The sequence below is a fragment of the Homo sapiens genome, chromosome 2, assembly GCF_000001405.40.
Source record: "Homo sapiens chromosome 2, GRCh38.p14 Primary Assembly".
Taxonomy (NCBI): Eukaryota; Metazoa; Chordata; class Mammalia; order Primates; family Hominidae; genus Homo; species Homo sapiens.
Window position 1 is genome coordinate 234,707,219 of NC_000002.12, and position 21,812 is coordinate 234,729,030.

Here is a 21,812-nt window from a genome sequence, read left to right on the forward strand (position 1 = left end):
CCACCCACACCCAGCCCCTGGTCTCTACCTCTGTGAGTTTGGCTTTTTCAGATTCCACATATTAAGTGAGATCATGCAGTATTTGTCTTTCTGTGCCTGGCTTATATCACTTAACATAATGTCCTCCCGGTTCATCCATGTTGTCACAAATGACAACATTTGTGAATAGTATTCCATGACGTATATATACCACATTTAGTGGTACATCAACATACATTTAGTTTGTTTTCATATCTCAGCTATTGTGAATGACACTGCAATGAACATAAGAGTGAAGATATCTCCTCAACGTGTTGATTTCACTGTCTTTGGATACATACCCAGTAGTGGGACTGGACAGCAACCTTGATGTAGTCTTAGAACCAGGCTGTGCATGTGAATGTGTGTGTGTATGTTTATGTGTGTGCACGCATGTGCCTGTATGTTTGTACACATTACATAATTGTAAACTTTCCATCAGCACAATTTTATATTATTTTTGCTTCATGTCACTTAAGAATATATTATGAATATCTTTACATGTTAAATTTTGGGAAACCTCTTACGTTTGCTGCACATATATGATTTGCTTCTCCTTACTGGGCATTTGAGTACCTTGCATATTTTTCCATTTTAAATGATCTTGCAGGGAATGTCTTTTGATATCAACCTTTGTTATTTGCCTTGGAGTGAAATTACTGGGTCAGATGGCATTTACATTTTAAGCCCTAACTCTGCTTATAGAATAAAAGGCATGAGCACAATAGAGAATTTCCAAAAGCAAAGCAAGTGCAGTTGTCCTCTGGGGGCTGGGGACAGTCACTCTAGAACCACAGCAGGTGGGTGGCTGTCTGCTACACTTATCCATCTAGGTGCATATATATATATATCTTAGACATATTTTTGTTAGAAACAGCCCCGCAGCTTTAGCCTGCAGCTCTCCCCTCTTCCCCCCAGACATTTCTCTTAAGAGTGATGGGAATACATTCTATGAAGCTGCTGTTAGGCGAGACAGCTCCCAGTAATGCCAGCCATCAAGTGATTCCCGTGAGGGGCTGTATGGGTGAATGCTCGGCATTGCAACAGTGCACAGCAGGCCACCAGTCTATTATCCACCAAATCTCGAGATTCAGCCCAGGATGCATTCAGTTGCTAAAACTGTCACGGCAGCCACTCGCTGCTAGCTCTTAGGCAAGAAAATGTGCATTCCTTCAGAAATTCAGGGAAAGCCGTTGTCTCTATAAAACAGAAAGTCCAAAGCAATTGCGCAGCTGCATGATGTTCAGCACATTACATGGATTCTTCTCGCATCTGCCTCTTAAGTTGTGTAAAAATGATTATGCAATTCTAAATTTGGAAACTTACCTTATTGTATGCACCAGGGACTCAACAGAAATTTTTATATCATATTCAAGAATAGCAAGTGGTACCAGGACACTGATTTGGCTAGCATAAATGTTACAATTGCTAAATACATGGAGTCAGACTACCAAAGGATTCATTTGTTTCAATCAATAAATATTCATTGAACACTGAGTCTCTGTGAGACCCTGTGCCAGAACCAGGGAATGCAGTAGAGAAAGACCAGCCTGGTTCTGCCCCAGGCATTAAGCTTCCCACCATGTACACTAGGGCACTTCATCAACAGCAGGCTTATGGCCCGCCTTGGTCATGAGCATAAAGACCATTGCTACTAATCTTTATAGTAAAGCCCTGCAGAGATGGGAGTGAGAGCCCGTCTCTTTGACATTCCAACTCACATCTCTACATTCCCCTGACAGTGAGCTTTCAATTTGCCCTTGTACTGTCCTGTCTCATGTTTCCCTTTGATCTAGAATGCTGATCTGCACCTCTTCTATTGGCATACATCATACAGCCAATCCTTCCATGCCTCGCCTGCCTATAACACTTTTAATGGGGAGTCTTGCCCAAGGCTCCAAGCAGAAACAGCCACGCTCTCCTTTACTGTGCATTGTGCATGCCTCTGTGATGGTGTTACTATGCCGGGACCTCTAGGCCATAATTTTACATGTATTAATCTATTAATAGCTCCTTCTCCAGATGTAAGCTAATTGGGGACTGGGACATAAAGTACTTATGGGTTGAATGAATGAATGAATAAGTGAATGCAAAGCTGATGCACACAGATTTTAGCCACAAAGAAAAATTTCCCCAGCCATTATTGATAGAATATGAGCTTGGAGTTGTTTTTCCAGCCTTAAGAACAGCAGGGCTGGGCGCGGTGGGTCACACCTGTAATCCTAGCACTTTGGGAGGTTGAGGTGGGAGAATCACATGAGGCCAGGAGTTCGAGATTAGGCTGGCCACCATAGTGAAACCCCATCTCTACTAAAAATACAAAAATTAGCTGGATGTGGTGGCAGGTGCCTGTAATCCCAGCTACTTGGGAGGCTGAGGCAGGAGAATTGTTTGAACCTGGGAGGTGGAGGTTGTAGTGAGCCGAGATCGCGCCATTGCACTCCAGCCTGGGTGACAGAGTGAGATTCCACCTCCATTAAAAAAAAAAAAAAAAAAAAGAACAGCAGGACCGGGATGTAGGATGGCTGGAGGCAGAGGTATAACCTATGTCCATGAAGCTGAGAATGACCAATGGCTTGTAAAGAGCTTAGATCCATAACCCTGGACTCACTGCCCCTTGACTGTTGACAGATAGGACCCAGAAAAGTAGTGTCACAAAGCACGAGACAGAAAATCAACCATTGTCCCAATTCTATAAAAATGGACTCATTCAATGTAACCCTGGGAGACTTGGTTGAACTTCACCAAAACCCCAGTTCCACAGCCTGTGGCAGGTGGAAGCCCCCACCATGATGCCTGGGTCTCCATAGCCTCACTCCTCTCCCTTCTGTGCTCCTGCCACCTCGTGGGCTGTCACTAGTGGATGCTGAGACACAGAACTCTCCCCTTCAGTAGGGTCCACAGGAAATCCATTCACATCAAGTATTTTGTGATTTTTGTTAAACTCGCACTGAAGATTTTGTTTGTCAAAGAAACAGTCATATCACTCACCACACAAATACACTTGCACCAGCTTGCCTGTGTTGACGCTGCTTCCTTCTATTTTCTGACTCCTTTCCTTCTAGTACAGTCAAAATATTCCCCACTTGATTCTGGCCCTATCCTTTAGTCCATACCCAGTTCCTCTAAGAAATTAACTTCTACCTCCACTCACTGTATCAATGCAATCCCTCTGAACAAATACAGGGCCCTCTCAATAAGGACTTCTGGAGATTTTGACGTTCTCTCTCCCACTTCATCAAGCAGTTGTTAAAATTTGCTGTTTGCCTCCCCCAACCTCCCAATCCACAGGACTCTTCTTTAGATATTAGCATAAATCAGCATGATTTGGGGGAAACAAATCGTATTTCCATGTTTACATGGTCACTGCTTTCTGAGCAAAAGGTGCTGGCAACCTGGGTTAAAGGACGTTTGAGTGGCAACAAACCTTGGAAGTTAAAGTAGTAACTTCTGGAGAGATTGGCAGCAGCATCTCCCCTAGCGATGGGTATTTATATTCCAATGGTTGATGGACCTAGAGACCTTCTCGTTCTCTCCCCAGAGAGCCTTTGTTTACATTTCAGAGCAAAAGCTCTTTCTCTTTCTCTACCTGGGGTGAGAAGAGGAGGAGCAGCTATGTCAGCAGCTTTTATGTAAGCTCCAGAATTTATACTCCTCTCCGGTGGCCCAAATTCCTACATCTGGATCTCGGTTTGTCACTCTGAGGGGGATGGATGCATGGGGACTGGTGCAATGATGGCTATGTGAGCAATTAAAAATCTATCTCTGATCTAGAAACCTGGCATTTCCCAACAGAACAAACAAGCAAATAAGTAAAGTTATACAAGTAAAAGTTATAAAATGGATCTCTCAACATGAACTTTGTTATTTCTTCGATAAATAGATTGGAACGAAGTAGAGGACTGTGTAAAGAAAAAAGCAGGGAAGAAATTATTAACATCTCTGTGAATATATTTCATGGTGACGTGTCATGTATTTCATGAAACCTAAGATAGCAAAAGTTATAAGATGCACTATTATTTCGTGCACCACTACAAAAGAAAGAAAAAGCCTGCCAATTAAACTATAATGCAATGATTTCTAGTACCTTAGAACTTTTATTTTATTGAAAGAATTATTTTAGATTAAAATATAGACAAATCTGTCATATAAGTGACATAATTTAGTCAAGGTATTCCTAAAGCTTTTTTACATTTAAAGTCTGAAACTTGTGGATTTCTTTTCAAATTTCAGGTGAACATCAGTGTCATTGATGTTCATGTTGATGACACAGCATTTTTTTAATGCTGGAAATGATTACAATTGCACCTCACAAATTAGTCCTCAATGTCAATAATATCCTAATTGTTGTTGGGCCAACAGAGACTGTAGGAAGCTGTCAACTGTAGTATGCATCCCAATTTCGAAGATATCGGAAGGTGAAAAAATGTGTCTTTTGAATAATTAAAAATATGGTATATGAGATAGACTTTTTGACTTTAAAAAGAAGGAAGGGGAGAAGACACAAAAGTAGCAGTTGACTGAAGTTATTTTAATAAAAATGTAAGAAAAACATGTCTATTAATCACCATTAATGATCACAATAAACAATTTTTAAGGTGACTTGAGTCAATTTCTGAATTTCCCTTTCCTTCAAAATTCCCAGTAAATGATTAACAATGAAAAGACTTAGGCATATGAAAAATACATGGGCTGAAAAACAGGAACAGTACATATCTGCGAACCTAGAGGGATGTCAGATGATCCTTGAGTTATGAGGGGGTTCATCCTGATAAACCCATCGTAAGCTGAAAATATCCTAAGTCAAAAACACACTTAATGCACCTAATCTAACAACGAACACTATCACTTCACCTAGCCTCCCTTAAACGTGCTCAGGACGCTTACCTTAGCCGACTGACAGTAGGGCAAAATCATCTCACACAAAGCCCATTTTACAATAAAGTATTGAATATTTTATGTAATTTCTTGAATACTGTACTGAAAGTGAAAAGTAGAATACTTGTATGGGCTTCTACCAAATGTGTAACACTGTTGTACCATGGTAAAGTTGAAAAATCATTCAGCCAAACCCTCATTAAGTTGGGGACTATCTGTATGGATAGAAGTGGGTTGGAGGTATCCCAGCCACTCTGATTCCACACATGTGAGAGTGCAGCACTCCTGGACAGTATTGGACAGAATATACTCAAATCTGCAAAGACACAGCGGCAGGAGCTGAGCACGAGGGCAAGACAGTGTCTGATCAACAGGGATGACCTACTGACCACAGCAAGGGCTCCAGGGTCACACCAAGCAGACTGGTGTTGGCTCCCAGGATCCCTGAGACAGAAATGGTGATGCTCCAGTGAATGGAGCCTGCACCCCACACAGGGAAAAGAAAGTTCTCTGGGGAGCCCAGTTCTCCCTTTGTGGCCTAGGACCTGACACACTGACTCTGTCTGATGCACTCACCAGTGGATCTCCAGAGCTCACTCAGAAACTGGCACACAGCCGGTACTTGGGGGTTGGCTGGATTCATTTATTTTACACATATTTGAGAGCCCAGAAAGGAACAAACAGTGGTTGAATCACCGGGCATATGGGAATAAACCAATGTCAGAGTCTCCAAGGAAGTTTACATTCTAATAGAGGCCATAAAGAGATCAATATATCCCAGGTCAGGAGGAGATGAGCCCAGAAAGGACAGGAAAGCAGGTAAGGGAGGCAGGGCTTGGGGGATAGGGGAGCGTGGCTGCAGATGAAGTAAAATGGTTGGGAATGAGGCTCACAGAAGTTGCTGGGGCAGCAGAGAAATGAATGAAACAATGGAATGAGTCCCATGGACACCTGTGGGAACAGCATTGCAGAAAGAGGGAAGAGCAAGCCAAGGCTCTGAAAAAAATAAGCAAATGGATGCAACAGTGAATTTACGGGACTAACCTCCCTATCCATCCAAACCCAAGCTTCCTGACTTCTATTTCACCTGAGACTAAAGATTTGCCCACGTCATCTCTGAAAGAAATGTCCTCAAGTTCACATTCTGAGCAAACATCACCCTTCCTGGCTAAGAATGATGGGCAGGTGGGGGCGGGTGGAGGGTGAGGTTGAAGTACAAAAAATGTATAAAAAGGTGAAGGATGTATAAAAGATGAAGGAGTTCAAGAGAAGGGCACGATTACGGTGAACTAGAACCAATGTCCCCTAAGAAGTGGACTTGCTCCAAGGAGAAGGAAAGAATTATTTCCAAAGCGTTTTTTTCATACACAGTTTTACTTTCAACATGATGAGAGAGACAAGGCAGTTCTAGAGAGAGAACATCATCCTGAGGTCAGCGAAAATTGCTTTCAGTAGAAAAGCTATTACCAAATTTTAAAACACAATAAAAGAGTTTAATAAGGTGCCTAGTTACAAAATAAATCTATAAAAATCAATAGCTTTGTTTTACAGCAATAATAACCTGACACAAAATGTAATGGGAGGAAAATTCCATGCACCATCATGATGATAAATATGAAATACACAGGACAATCTTCATGAGGTATGTCAACGTCCTAGATGAACACTTCAAACTTTACTTAGAGAGAGAAGACATCATGTTCATTAAAGGGAACAATTGATGTTGTGGTTTTCATTTTCTCTGTCGTAATTTTCATTACCTTTGTATTAATTTGCTCTGATGTCTGTATTCCCCACTATGCTGTAAACTTAATAATGGCAAAGACTCGGTTCCATTCTTTGCTGGGTACATATCCAAGTACATAGCCAAGTCTTGGGACGCAGGAGGTGCTCAATAAACATTACTTGGATTAATGAGTGAAGACGGAGATGATCACAAAACTAAATTGTCTTAAAATGACCTCCAGAAAAATCCAAGATTCTGCCCTGAATCAAAAGAATGGTTTCAAATCATGGTAATTCTTAGACAATCAGGAATTTAATTCTGCCAACATAATATTTCTGGAGCCTCAGCAAAGAGTGTACATCCCAACACATTTAGGCATAGTAAAAGTGAAAAAGATGCTTCCAAGAAAATTACCATCTTGGTAATTTTCCCAGCAGTCCTGGGGGGTCAGTGAGGCTCCTTGAAATGTTCCAGAGACTTCCGGGAGAGCGGTAATTCCTCCAGAACTTCCAACATTTATTACATTGACAATATCATGGAAGGAAACGCTTGTTTGGAACCAAACCTAACTTGATAGCTGAAGCCCTTTGGCCTTCTTAGACGTGGAAATCAGACAGCATAATCCACATAGAGGTGAAACTCAGTTTCCATTCCACCCCTTCTTCTTGACACTGGGAAGGAAAGGAGAAGGAGCTACTCTTGAAATGGATACCCCATGGTTTAGTAGAAGACACTGATGACTTTTCAGTCTGCAAGAAGAGCTCTAGAACCCAGTATTGGGGGCAAAAAAAGAGAGACCACATAATCCTTCTGCATATGGAAAGGATTTGCTTTGAGGAAGGAGATGCCACGAGCAGAACGGGAAGTCAGAGAGCAAACAAAATGGCAGCAGGACCCTGGAGCCCGTGCTGGTGAGAATTGTCAAGGGATTGTCGGAACAAGTCCCAGTGCTCAGTTAAGTCCAGGTCTGTAAACAGATAGTTATACGAATCGAGGAAAAGGAGCCAAGTTCCACATGTAGATTGGTACAAAGACTAGGAATTGGCTGTGGGAGGGAAGAGCTCAGCGAGGCTTTGAGTTCTGCCAGAAGTCAAACTCAGCTTGCAACAATCACAGGGAGATTGGTGGGAGGTAGGGAGGGCTGAGGGGGCAGGTGGATTACTTGGTGAAACTTGCAAGGAAGGGCCAAGAAGGCTTGTCTGAGCCAAGGCCATCCTGGCAGCAAGTCCCTGTTAGCCACATGGAAGGGGACAGCCTTGCTATTCCTTGCAGGACAAATCACCCTTGGAGAGCTACAGCCCGAGACATTTACAACCTAGAGCTTCTCTGTAAGTTACCAGGAGATAAGTGAGAGTATACATACAGCAGATGAAGGCTGATGGAAAGAATTTGGGGTGTTTGGGCTAAAAAGAGAAGTCCATGGGGAAACAAAAAGGTCATCTTCAAAACATGGATGGACTGTACTTATTATTGTTATGATTCTGGAGGGCAAATTGGGGTTAAAAGATGGAAGCGTGAGGCCAGGCACAGTGGGTCACATCTGTAATCCTAGCACTGTGGGAGGCCAAGGCAGGCAGATCAACTTAAAGTTTGAGACCAGCCTAGCCAACATGATGAAACCCTGGCTCTACTAAAACTACAAAAATTAAAATTAGCAGTGGCAGGCACGTGTAATCCCAGCTACTTGAGAGGCTGAGGCAGGATAATCACTTGAACCTGGGAGGCAGAGGTTGCAGTAAGCCAAGTTTGCACCACTGCATTCCAGCCTGGGGGGCAGAGAAAGACTCCATCTCAAAAAAACAAAACAAAACAAAACGTGGAAATAGCAGGAAGAAATAACTTGCCTCAATGCAAGGATTAATATTTCTGGCAATTGGAGAAGGCTAAGTATGAGGGTGCCCTTCCCTGCACATCAGTTCCTCTCTCACGGGGTAAGGTGGGTCCACAGGGCAGAGGAGGAAAGAGCCCGGGTCCAGGGTTTGAGGAGGGATTTGGGGAATCGCTGGGGCAAGAGGAGGTGCTTCCATGGGATCCCTTGATAGAAGTCCCAGCATGAACACCAGCCCCAGATGCCTCCGTGGGAAGTGGAGCTTCTCACAGGCAGGACACAGCTCCTCACAGCAGCAGCGATCAAGCGCTTTGGGGAGCATTTCTAGGGTAAGAACAGACACTCTTGAGCAAACTCAGGGACAGTCAGACAAGTGCCCCTACTGACTGTCAGGTGGGCTCTTCCCAAGGGAAGAGGTGGCCAGAGCATCTGCTTCCCGGAGTCATGTCACAGAACGGAGGAAACATGGGGTACTCCCCTATGCAGAACGGTTCTCCGAGCTCTCAGCCCAGTCTACGGGGCATTTGTGCTGAGAGCTCGTAGGATTGGCTGGGAGGGAGTGGAAGCAAAAAGCCTGAGCGCACCACTAGAGAGATGGGAAGGGACGTATCCTGACTGGCTTGGGAAAGGTCTTCTCCCTTCCTGTGCAGCAAGGGCCCAGGGAAGTGGCATCTAAATCAGTGACTGTGTTGACGGCCATTACAATGAGAAGATTGGCCTCGGCCGCCGTGCTCAGAGGCTCAAGGCAGCCTCCATTGCTCACAGTGGCCCCCCAGGTGCTGGCTGACTACCCCGGTGCCACTGTAGTCAGCACAGGATCAGGAGCAGGAAGCCCGGGGTCTCCCATTTCAGAGAGCAGTTTTCATGGTCACAGGCAGCACCAGAGTGACCCAGCCTGGGCCTAAATAAGAAATCGACTCTGGAGGGAGCAAGGGCTCCCAGATATCTCTGAGGACACCCTCTGGACGCTGTTGCTTTGGCCTTTTGGTGTTGCTAATGCCCTTGGCTTTTTCCCATCCCCTGAAGCGTGTAGATTAATACAAATTCCCTGCATTTCCCATAACCCCTCCCCAAAAGCTTGGATACATAACTTTTGAGCCTCGTAAAGTGCTCCAAGCATTGTGCTTCAGGGTGAAACCAGCTCTCCAACGTTCCAAGGCAAGAAGCACTGGCCAGCTAAATAGGATTTGGAAGTTCCGAAGAGCAGGCTGGGTAACACATTTAGAGCAGTCTTAGAGCAGTGCCATAGACAATTTTCTGGATCCTTGGATACAATAGCACAGGGAAAATGTGGTTTATGTGGCCAAGCATTGCTTAGATGGGTATAAAAAGAATATTGGCTTAAAATTGGCTGTTTTACACCAATAACAACCTGACACAAAATGTAATGGGAGGAAAATTCCATACACCATCACGATGATAAATATGAAATACACAGGACAATCTTCACGAGGTATGTTCACATGAAGAGGAATCTTCACATGAATCTTCACATGAAAAGGAATTCTATAGCAAAAATATCTCATCAACATGAGGCTGACTTGAGGCTGTTTTAACATGATTGAGTTAAAAGAGTCCAAAAGAAAAGAAATGAACAATGTAATTTGCTCTTATTGCTCCTACTATTATACTTAAAGTGACATGTTTATTTCTATTTTAATAAAAGATAGAAGCTAAAATTCTCTTAAGTGTGAAACAGCTGGGTTTAGAGAGGGTTTGATCAATTAAGCAAGTAAATGCCTCACAAAAACACCCTACCATTTGGCTGAAAGATAGTTTCTGCTCGGGAGAGGGCTGAGGCTGCAACAATGAAAAATAGCATTTTGCTGAAAACAGAACACGTCAGTAGAGAGCAGATTGAATCCCATAATCAATTTTGTCATTTGAAAGTAGGCTAGATTTCTCTCTTAGCACAGGCATTAATTGGATATAAGACAGCAATCACAACTGTGTTTTCAATCTATAGGAAAAATTATCTTCGTTTCCCCAAGGCCTGCAGCTTTCATAAGAAGGCAGGAGTTTTTGGAGGAGAGCGTCGTGTTCGTCTGTCTGTAGACCCTGAGACACTGATTTACAGCAAGACTCACGGTGACAAGGTTTGTATTCTTAAAAACCAGAGATAAGCCATGATTTTGCAAGGGACAAAAACCAACTCTAACTTAAGTGGAAAAGGAAAATTATTAGCTATGGACCTAAAGAACAGAGTGAAGACAGCAATAGCTACACTGTATTCAAACAACCTCCCTATCACACACATACAGCACACACATGCACACATGAACACACTCTCTCTCTCTGGGTTGGCCTAATCCCTCTGGCCAGCTGGCCCTATAAGTCTACCATACACCATAGAGCACTTTATCCTACAGGCCTACTATCTCACCCAGACAAGACAGACTTCTGCCATTTTTTAAAATCCAGGGAGGGACTCTAATTGGGTAGCTGAGGTCACAAGTCCATGGCTGAATCAACTAGCAAGGCCAGGCGTACGGATACCCTAATTGGCTGCCCCACCAGAACCATATGTTTCAAGTGGGAGAAAAAGAAGTCCTCTAAAAAAGGGGATGCAATCTTCTGAGAAGACAAAACATTACTACACCATGCTGGCAAAGTTCCGATTCTGCCTTGTTTCCCAGAGCACAGACACAAAAGGCACAGGGAACCAAGGTGATCTGCTTCCGACCTGTGCTGTCCAATATGGTGGGCACCAACCACGTGGCTGCGAGCCCTTGAAATGTGCGTGAGATGTGCTGTAATGCAAAATACACCCTGAATTTTGAAGACATACTAAAAAAAAAAAAAAGTGTAAACATGGTGAAACCTCGTCTCTACTACAAAATACAAAAATTAGCCAGATGTGGTGGCATGTGCCTGTAATCCCAGGTACTCGGGAGGCTGAGGCAGGATAATTGCCTGAAAGTGGGAGGCGGAGGTTGCAGTGAGCCGAGATCATGCCATTGCACTCCAGCCTGGGCAACAGAGTGAGACTCTGTCCAAAAAAAAAAACCTCATTGGTAATAGTTTATTTTAATTACATATTGAAATGATAGTATTTTGGATCTATTACATTAAATAAGATATATTATTCAAAATTTTTACTTCTTTAATGTGGCTATTAGAACTTTTATAATTACATAGGTTATTACCTTAGGTGGCTTGCATTGTATTTCTGTGGGGATGGCTACCTCAGAAACTGAGGGTCACAGAGGCCTCAGGTCCTGCCTCGCCAAATTAAGCCAAGTGCATCTAGCAAACGCTAGCTATACAAAAAGGAAAGTAGGATGGAATTAACTTCCATTTCTACACAGCATGTCATTAGGGTGCTTAGTGTGTCTGGTTAGATGATATCAACGCTTTTTTCTTTATACTTGCCAGAGTCCCTGCTTTGGTGTCTCCCAGCCATGCCCTTAAAAGATTTCTATCAAAGATCATCATCCAGTTCTTTCAGGAGGCACCAAGCAATAACCAACGCACACAGTTATAAATCTTTGTCTGGGTACCAAAGCCATATATAAATCCATAAGCTATCACATCTTCCCGTCATCCCATGAAGCAGGTTGAGCAGGCTGAAGTGATTCAGGGTAAAACGTGCACTTTGTCAATGTCATTGTGTCACAAAGAGTCCAGATCCTAGACGCAGCTACCTCCAGTCTGCAGCCTCTCCATGCCCTAGTGGTCTCATGAATCTGAATAGCTTTCCTGTTTGATGCTAGCTTATTTTCTAGTGTGACCCGTTTTCCTGCAAAAAGCCAGTTTAGGTTGGTAAAGGGAATAAAGGTCTGTGTTGGAAAATTCATTGCCTTTCACTCAGAAAGCTTTCAATGGGAAACAAATTTAGATAGGACAGCCTTACTTCTTTGTATATGGAAAGCACAAAGGACTTTGCGTATTTCATCAACTTCCCCTCCCAGCATCCCGGAGAGGAGGAAGGCAGGTCTCTGCATCTGGCTGACAGGAGGATTTAGAGATGTCTATTTTAGTCAAAGCCTGCCCCTAAAAGCTTGTGACCTAAAAGAAGCCCTCCAACCTTCTTGCCTTCTGGGCTCTGTCTCAGTTATAAAACAAGGCATCCAAGGACACTTAAGAAAATATTTCCGAATGCAAACTACAGGGTGCCGTGCTTAAATCTCTCCAAGAGCTGCCCACACCAATGAAGTGCAAAGGTTTGCCGTGGCCTCTAAGACCCTACAGAATCTGACCACAGCCTGGGCCTCCAGCTCTTCTCCTGCTGCCTCCTTCACCTCTCACAGCTCTTCAGCCACATAAACCCTGCCCTGCTTTAAGGAGAGGCAGCTGGTCCTGCCGCGGGGCCTTTCCTAGGGCAGGGTCCTGTGTCTGGAATGCTCATCCCAGTAATCCTTGCCTCCGCCTCCTTAGAAGGATCTTCCTAGTTCAGTCTGAGCAGTTTTCCATTTCATGCATCTGAGGAGTCAGAAGTTGTAGTTCAGGGCCATCAAGTTAGCCAAGACTGGAGAGGTCAAGATCCCAGAGAAAAGTCAAGCAGAGGCCGGGCGCAGTGGCTCACGCCTGTAATCCCAGCACTTTGGGAGGCCAAGGCGGGCAGATCATGAGGTCAGGAGATCGAGACCATCCTGGCTAACACAGTGAAACCCCATCTCTACTAAAAATACAAAAAATTAGCCAGGCATGGTGGTGGGTGCCTGTAGTCCCAGGTACTAGGGAGGCTGAGTCAGGAGAATCGCTCGAACCCGGGAGGTGGAGGTTGCAGTGAGCCGAGATCGCACCACTGCACTTCAGCCTGGGACACAGAGAGAGACTCTGTCTCAAAAAAAAAAAAAAAAAAAAAAAAAAAAAAAAAAAAAGTCAAGCAGAAAGGAGCTAGTCTAACAGTCTCAGCCCCTTCCCCGCAGGGAACTCAGCCTATTTGTAAAAGGCATGAACCTAGAGAAGCAGAAAAAAATTAGCTGTAAAAAGCCTGAGGAGCCACACAGGGCTTTTGGCACCATCATAGCACTGGAGAAATTCTTAAAAATGGAATTCAGGGTCTGACAAGGAAGAGCTGCCCTGATAACATCCAGGCACTCACATGGGGGCCCTGAAGAACCTCGTCCTAATGCAGTGTTTCTCAAAGTGAGATCCACGGATCCCTGGGGGTTCCAGACACTCTTCCAGGACATTCAACAGCTCAGACTATTTCCATAATAACCCTTGCCTTTCTCACTGAGTTGACATTTGCCCTAAAGATGCAAAAGTGATAGTAGATGCCTCACCCGAAATTAAGGCAATGGCTCCAAAGCCATAGGAGTCACTGTATTCACCACCACCAGGCACTCACAGAAAAGGGACAAACAAGCAAAGTTAGTTTCCCCTAAGAATACCCTTGATGTTTCAGTAAAAGTGATTAATTTTATTAAATCTTGACCTTCCAGCAAACATTGTTCTAATATTCTGTGTGACAAAATGAGGCACCTCTGATGAGAAATGAAATGTGATGGTCGCTTCTGGGAAAAGGAATTGTGTGATTTTTTTTTGAGTTGTTAGCTGCATTAGCCTCTTTTCATGGAATGACAATAGTCCTTGAAGGAACAAGTAATAGATAGATAAATAGATCTATCTATATACTATCTATTTATCTACCTATAGATGATACCTATAGGTAGATAGATCTATCTATCTAGCAACTGATAGATAAATTATGGTTAATCGGACTTGAAAGACATTCTGAAAAATGTACAAAGTGAACCTGTCTCTTAAAGGAAAAAATACTGAAGTATAGCATATAAAATTTGAATTTAAGTGAAAATTAGAATTTTGGAAAAATTGAATCTGTCACCAGGAACTTAGTAGCATCCCAATAGTAAAAGGCTTCCCTGATAGGACTGATAATGATATTAATGAATATGCTGTTTTGATTTTGTATAATAAAATGTGTCAACAGTTGCAAGATTTGTGTAAGTCAACGACAAATATTTTTTGAATGACCAATGCATGATGTTATAAAATCATGCATCCATAAAAGTTTCATTCAAAGAGCAAGATAGGATAATGGCTTTCCAAGTAATAGAGTATGAAAAGTTTCTGGATATGGCTTCAAATTTCACATTGTGACCAATCTTTAAGAAACTACCACTTGTGGACTTTTGTTGTAGTATTAAAGAATAACCACAGTCATCTGACAAGGATATTAAAATACTCCATCCTTTTCCAATTACATATTGTGTGGAGCTGGATCTTCTTTACATGCCTTAATCAGAACAACAGATTGAAACAGATTGAACACAGAAGCAGATATGAGAATCTGTCTCTCATTAAGCCAGAAATCAGAGATTTGAAAAAATGCAAAACAATGTTACTCTTATGACTAAATTTTTTTGTTTTTGAAGATGGAGATATTTTTCATAAAATATATTATTTAGACTAACATGGAATAGGTTTATGATTATTGATTATTTTGATTTTTATGATTATTTTGAGTAAATAATGAGTAATAATATTTTGAGTAATATTTGAGTAATAATATTTTGAGTAATAATATTTAAGTAATATTTGGAGCAAATAATTATTATTTTGAGTAAAAAGCAAATGTAAAACTTTCTCAGTGTTTAATATGGCAAATATCAATATATGTAACCCACATTAACAGAAGCTCTTTGGGGATCCCAGTAATTTTTAAGAGTATAAAGGAATCCTGAGACCAAAAGCTTTCAAAATTACTTATCTGGAACAATTGTCAAAATTGGCCATATGCCAGGCCTTAAGGCAAGTCATGAAAAATCTCTGTTTTGAAATTATTCAGAGTATGTTCTCTCATCATAGTGTAATTAAGTTTGGCATCAATAAAAATACTTTAGAAATCCCCAATATTTAGAAATTAATCCATTCACCTCTAAATATTCTATGTGAAGAAGATATCCCAATAGAATTTAGAAAATATTTTCAAGTAAATTACAATTAAAAATGACGTGTCAAAATTCATAGTATCTAAATAAAGGTGTACTTAGAGAAAAACTTATAGCACTAAATGTATATATTAGAAGAGAAGCTGAAAAAAGTGATCTAAATATCTATTTAGAAGAAGTAAGAACAACAAAAGCAAATTAAGTCCAAGAAAGCAGGAGGGGGGATAATAAGGTCAGAAATAAGGGCTTAAAACACAAATATTCAATGGAGAATCAGCACAAAAGTTGGTTCTTCTTTGAAAAAAACTAAAAATTAATAAATACTTAAATCACTCATCAAGAAAATTGGAGAAGGCATAAATTACCAAAATCAAAAATAAAAGGTGTCATTAAATAAATTTTAAGATGATATGAGAAAAGTATGAAGTTTAGAAATCATAACTTACCAAAACTGATAGAAATGGAAAACATGAATAGTTCTATACCTACTAAAGAAATTGAATCTGTACGTCAAAAGCTCCCTATAAGGAAAACTCCAGACTTGAATTCATTCAAATATTTTAAGAGGAAATGACATTAATCTTAAACATTTTCTTTTTCATAGAATATAAACATCTCTTCAATTCATTTGATGAGGAAGAAAAGCTTTGATAAAGAAACTTGACAAGAACTTTACAAGGAAGAAAAATTACCAACAATTTCTCCTATCAATGTAGATGAAAAATTCTAAACAAAATGTGAGCAAATTGAATTCCATTTTATGTAAATAGGATAATACATTATGATGAAATCAAGTTTATTTAACAATGCAAGACTGGTTTGCTATTCAAAAATCAATGAAATATGAATACATATGTAGAGCAACTAAATGTTAAGAAACTCCGGTTTCCAGTCCAACATGTGAAGAGCTTGGAAATCTTCATATTAAAAAAAAAACTGAACAAATTGAAAATCAGCAATTCTTACATCCGTCAGAGAATTGAGGTCCCAGGGCAATCTGCTGCCTTGAAAATGAAAGAAACAGACAGACAGATACAGAGAATTTCAGCTTAAAAGGAGCAGACGGCCTCAGCTGGACGAGTTCGAGTTTAAAACTCCAGGAGGGGCCAGTCTTGGAGACGCCACACAGCTGGGAGTTTCACCTCCAGAAGCCCTACTGTTACTCAAAAGGGGTCCCAAGCCAAACCCCAAGAGAGGGTTCTTAGATCTTGCACAAGAAAGAATTCAAGGCAAGTCCATAGAGTAAAGTGAAAACAAGTTTGTTAGAAAAGTAAAGAAACAAAAGAATGGCTACTCCATAGGCAGAGCAGACCCAAAGGCTGCTGGTTGCCCATTTTTATGGTTATTTATTAATTATATGCTAAACAGGTGGTGGATTATTCATGCCTTTCCTTTTTAGACCATATAGGGCAACTTCCTGACATAGCCACGGCATTTGTAAGCTGGCATGGCGCTGGTGGGAGTGTAGCAGTGAGGACGACCAGGTCACTCTCATCGCCATCTTGGTTTTGATGGGTTTTGGCTGACTTCTTTACTGCAACCTGGCTTATCGGCAAGGTCGTTATGACCTGTATTTTGTGCCTACCTCCTATCTCATTCTGTGACTTAGACTGTCTGTCTGGGAATGCAGCCCAGTAGGCCTCAACCTTATTTTACCCAGCCCCTATTCAAGATGGAGTTGCTCTGGTTCAGACGTGCCTCTGACACCACCAGTTACTCACTGTGAAGGTCCCTCATACTCCTCGCCCTGGGAGGGAAATAGCAACCATTTTAAGATATGGCCGGAGGATTTTACCCTCCTTAACTGCTGCCCTCATGGGGAAAGCATTTTGCTAGAGCCTAACTTGGGATTTTATCCAGGCCTAACTGGCCTGAGAGAAGGGAAATACTCAATTCGGGCTCACTAAAGACTGAGCCCTGATCACAGGGCTACAGGACACTTCCCCTCCCCCACACCTCATTGCCTTCTCAATAGAGCTCCTGTGTAATAACGGAGGATCAAGAACTGCAAGCCTTAGGCCCTATTTTAAAATTTTGAAAGTCTCTAGGAAAACCCAAAGACAACAGGGGAGACAAAAACAAGAGCACTAGAGGAAATTTTAGCCTCTGACACTGCAGCCACAGTAAACAGTGTTGACAAAAAGAGTCAAACTGTAAAATATTTTAAGAGATTTATTCTGAGCCAAATATGAATGACCATGGCCTGTGACACAGCCCTCAGGAGGTCCTGAGAACATGTGCCCAAGGTGGTTGGGGGTGCAGCTTGGTTTTATATATTTTAAGGAGGCATGAGACATCAATCATATGCATTTAAGAAATACATTGGTCTAGTTCAGAAAGGTGGGACAACTCAAAGCGGGGGGAGCAGGGCTTCCAGGCTATAGGTAAATTTAAACATTTTCTGGTTGACAATTGGTTGAGTTTATCTGAAGACCTGGAATCAACAGAAAGAAAATGTTCAGGTTAAGATAAAGGCTTGTGGAGATCAAGTTTTACTGCGTAGAGGAAGCTTTCAGACAGCCAACTTCAGAGTGAGCATGTTGTAAAATGTTTATTATCAGACCTAAAAGAGCACCGGGCTCTTAGTTGATTATCTCCTGGATCTGGAAAGGAAAGAAGGAAAAAAAAGGGGAAAGGAGATTCTCTATAGAATGTGGATTTTACCCACAAGGGACGACTTTGCAGGACCATTTCAAGACATAACAGAGAAATATGTTTTGGGGTAAAATATTTTGATTTTCTTCCTTGTTGTGCCAGAGTCAGATTGGAAAGTAAGTGACAATATACAGGGTTAAATCAAATGCATCTGATGAGAATTTATGGTTTGTAGGGCATGACTCCCTAGACCCCTTAGACAGGAATTTAGGGAGGACAAAAAAAAAAATCAGAGCTTAGTCTTCAATAGTAAACACAGCCCAATGCCTAATCAGATAAACATAAACTTCACACTCACATCCTATCCACCTCAGTTCCTATTACTCAATACATTGTATTGGGCTTTCAACAAAAAAATTACAAAGTGTGCTAAAAGCCAAAACACACAGTCTGAAGAGACAAAGCAAGATCAGAACCCACTTTTGCAAAAATCAGGAGAGTGAGAAAAACCTGACACAGGGAAATTATGGCAGTGAAAGAGATCTGACTGAACTGATTCCATCTTGCCTTTAATCTCCAAACTGCCCTTGTTCATTCCTGGGCGTAGGCCAAACTAACTTTGGGAGAAATTTAGTTTATAGTTTAACTTTGAAACAAAGATAATAACAGCCCCTCCCTGAAAAAAAAATACCCCTTCTTGTCTAGGGACAAAACTGCCTTTGTAAAACTAACAAATTAGCCACAAGATTAGAAATTATGGCTCAGGAGTCACACATCCAGAGCCCAAAAGATTCCTAACCCCCCCAATTGCTCCTATAGATAACACTACTACTGTGAAAGCTAAGATTGGTGTTTAAGGTATTCTTCAGGATCTGCATTCTGTTGGACCAGCTAGCACCACCCAGACCAATACACTGTCTCATCTGGTCTTGTGAACCCCACCCAGGAACTGACTCAGTGCAAGAGGACAGCTTTGTCCCCTGTGATTTCATTCCTGACCCAACCAGTCAGCATTCCCCATTCCCTTGTCCCTGTCTACCAAACAATCTTTAAAAATTCTAGACTCTGAACATTCAGGAAGGCTGATTTGAGCAATAATAAAACTCTATTCTGCAATTTAGCTAGCTGTGTATGTATTAAACTCTTTCTCTACTGCAGTTTCCCTGTCTTGATAAATTGACTCTATCTGGACAGTGAGGAAGAACTCATTGGATGGTTACAGAACCAAACTCAGATACGGCAGAGATTTCAAAATTATCAGAAAGGTAATTAAAATAACTACAGTAGGCCAGGTTCAGTGGCTCACGGCTATAATCCCAGCACTTTGTGAGGCCAAGGTGGGTGGATCACTTGAGCCCAGGAGTTCAAGAGCAGTCTGGGCAACATGGAGAAAACCCGTTTTGTAGAGCAAAAAATTAAAAACTTAACCAGGTGTATTTGAAACCAGCCTGACCAACGTGGTAAAACCCTGTCTCTACTAAAAATACAAAAACTAGCTGGGCGTGGTGGCGCACGCCTGTAATTCCAGCTACTCCGGAGACTGAGGCAGGAAAATCACTTGAACCCGGGAGGCAGAGGTTGCAGTGAGCCGAGATTGCACCACTGCACTCCAGACTGGGCAACAGAGTGAGACTCCATCTCAAAAAACAAACAAAAAACAAACAAACAAAAAACTTAACCAGGTGTAGTGGTGTGCCCCTGTAATTCCAGCTACCCGGGAGGCTGAGGTAGGAGGATCCCTAGTGCCTGGGAGACAGATGTTGCAGTGAGCTGAGATTGCACCACTGCACTCCAGCCTAGGTGACAGAGTAAGACCCTGTCTCAAAAAATGAATAAAATAAAGACTAGTTAATATGCTAAGAATTTTAATGGACAAAGTGAACAATAGGCAATAGAGCCAATGGTTCATGTAGGCAGAGAGATGGAAATTCAAACAGGGAAAAGAGTTAAAAGGAAATGCTAGAAATCAGAAGCACTGTAACAGAAATGAAGAATCTTCTTGATGGGCTCATCAGTAGACTGGACACGTTCAAGGAAAGAATCAATGAGCCTGAAGGTAAGTCAATAGGAGCTTCCACAACTGAAACGTGGAGAGAAAGAAGAATGAGAAAGATGGAACAGAATATTCAAGAACTATAGAATAATTACAAAAGGTGTAAATTATTATATATAATAACACTACCATTTTTGACAATATCAAAAAACATTATATACCAAAAAATAAATCAAATAAAAGATTGTAAGTCCTCTACCTACAAAACCACAAAACATCATTGAGAGAAAGTAAATAAGATATAAATAAATGAAAGAATATACGATGTTCATACATTGCAAGACTCAAAATTGAAAGATGTTCATTCTTTCCAAATTTACTCAGTACAATTCTGATTAAAAACTTCGGAAAGTTTTCTATGAAAACTGAAAAAAATGATTCTATAATTTTTGTGAAATGCAGTGGTACAAGTGCAGCAAAGACAATCTCAAAAAACAAAGTTGGAAGTCTCAAATGACTATATATCAAGACTTATTATGAAGTCATAGAAACTAAGACATAACTAGAGACAAACAGATGAATAAAACAAAACAAGATTACAACAGTCCACAAAATGTCACTTTATTTATGGAAAAGGTTACATATTATAGCAGTGAGGAAAAGTTGATCTTTGCACTAAAGTCAACTGGGTATCTTTATTTTTAAAAATGAATTTTGACTCCTTTCTTATATTTTAAACAAAAATCAATACCATTTGGATTATAGGCATAAATGTGAAAGGTAAAAAATAATAAGTTTCTAGAAGAGAATTTAAGAGAATGTCTTCATGGTCTTGTGTAGCAAAAGTTCCTTTTTTAGGGAACAATAAGTCCTAAACATAACAGGAAAATGATAAAAATTAGACTATATTAAAATTAAGAACTTGTGTTCAACAAAGACAAAATTAAAGGAGTGAAAAAGCAGACCATAGAATGGAGAAAACATATGTAATAAATGTGTCTGACAGATAACTCGAATCTGCTATACACAGGGAAGTCTTCAAATCAATTTAAAAAAAGAAAAAGCAGACAACTAATAGAAAACTGGACAAAAGACTGAATTTAACTTCACAGAAGATATAAAGTGTTCAGTAAACACATAAAAAGATGCTTAACATTCTCAACTGTCAGAAAAAAATACAAATTAAAGCAATGCGATAGCAGTACACCCCATCACAATGACAATTGTTTCCGATGTGGAGGTATTATGAATAATACTGCTATGACTATATTTGTACATATCTTCCAGTGCATATTTGTACAAAATCTGCTGGTTGTATACCTAAAAGAGGAAATGCTGGATCACAGTATGCTTCTATTCAACCTTAATAGAGAGCCCTAAAGAAATCTCCAAAGAGGTTAAGCCACTGTCCACTCCCAGCCTACAGGGAAGAGCAGTTGGTAGCAAGAATGTGAAGCAACTGGAGCTCTCACGTTCTGCTGGTGGGAGTACACAGTGGCATAGCCTCTTCGGGAGTTTAAGGGTATCTATGAATGTTAAATATATGCATACACTGTGGTTCAGTATTTCTTCTTTTAGGTATATAACCAACAGATTTTATACCAATATGTGTCAAACGATATGCAAATCTATTCATAGCAATATTATTCATAATAGTCCCACATCAGAAACAATCTCAGTATCCAGCCATAGGAGAATGGATATATAAACTGTGGGCCTCTTCATAGGAAGAAATTTTCTATAATAATCAATACAAGTGAACTGCAGCTATATGAATGAAGCTCATACATATACTATTGGAAGAAAGAAGTTGGCCGGGGGCGGTGGCTCACGCCTGTAATCCCAACACTTTGGGAGGCTGAGGTAGGTAGATCGCAAGGTCAGGAGATCCAGACCATCCTGGCCAACATGGTA

The 21,812-nt window shown here is 41.1% G+C and overlaps 1 long non-coding RNA gene across 1 annotated transcript in view, besides 1 other annotated feature; it reads left to right on the forward strand.

Annotated features, from left to right (window-relative positions):
* The window catches only part of LINC01173 (long intergenic non-protein coding RNA 1173), a 35,097-nt gene extending 24,551 nt beyond the window's left edge, over positions 1-10,546 (forward strand). The window contains exon 3 of the long non-coding RNA NR_132376.1: positions 10,417-10,546. This is a non-coding gene — a long non-coding RNA (long intergenic non-protein coding RNA 1173). The remainder of the gene's footprint in view (positions 1-10,416) is intronic.
* Positions 3,211-3,792: an enhancer, noted in NCBI's record as "NANOG hESC enhancer chr2:235619073-235619654 (GRCh37/hg19 assembly coordinates)". NCBI's record gives its function as "activates a minimal SCP1, AML or CMV promoter by ChIP-STARR-seq in primed H9 embryonic stem cells {active_cell/tissue: H9 hESC(primed)}" and the evidence as "EXISTENCE:reporter gene assay evidence [ECO:0000049][PMID:30033119]".
* Positions 10,547-21,812: the final 11,266 nt, after the last annotated feature.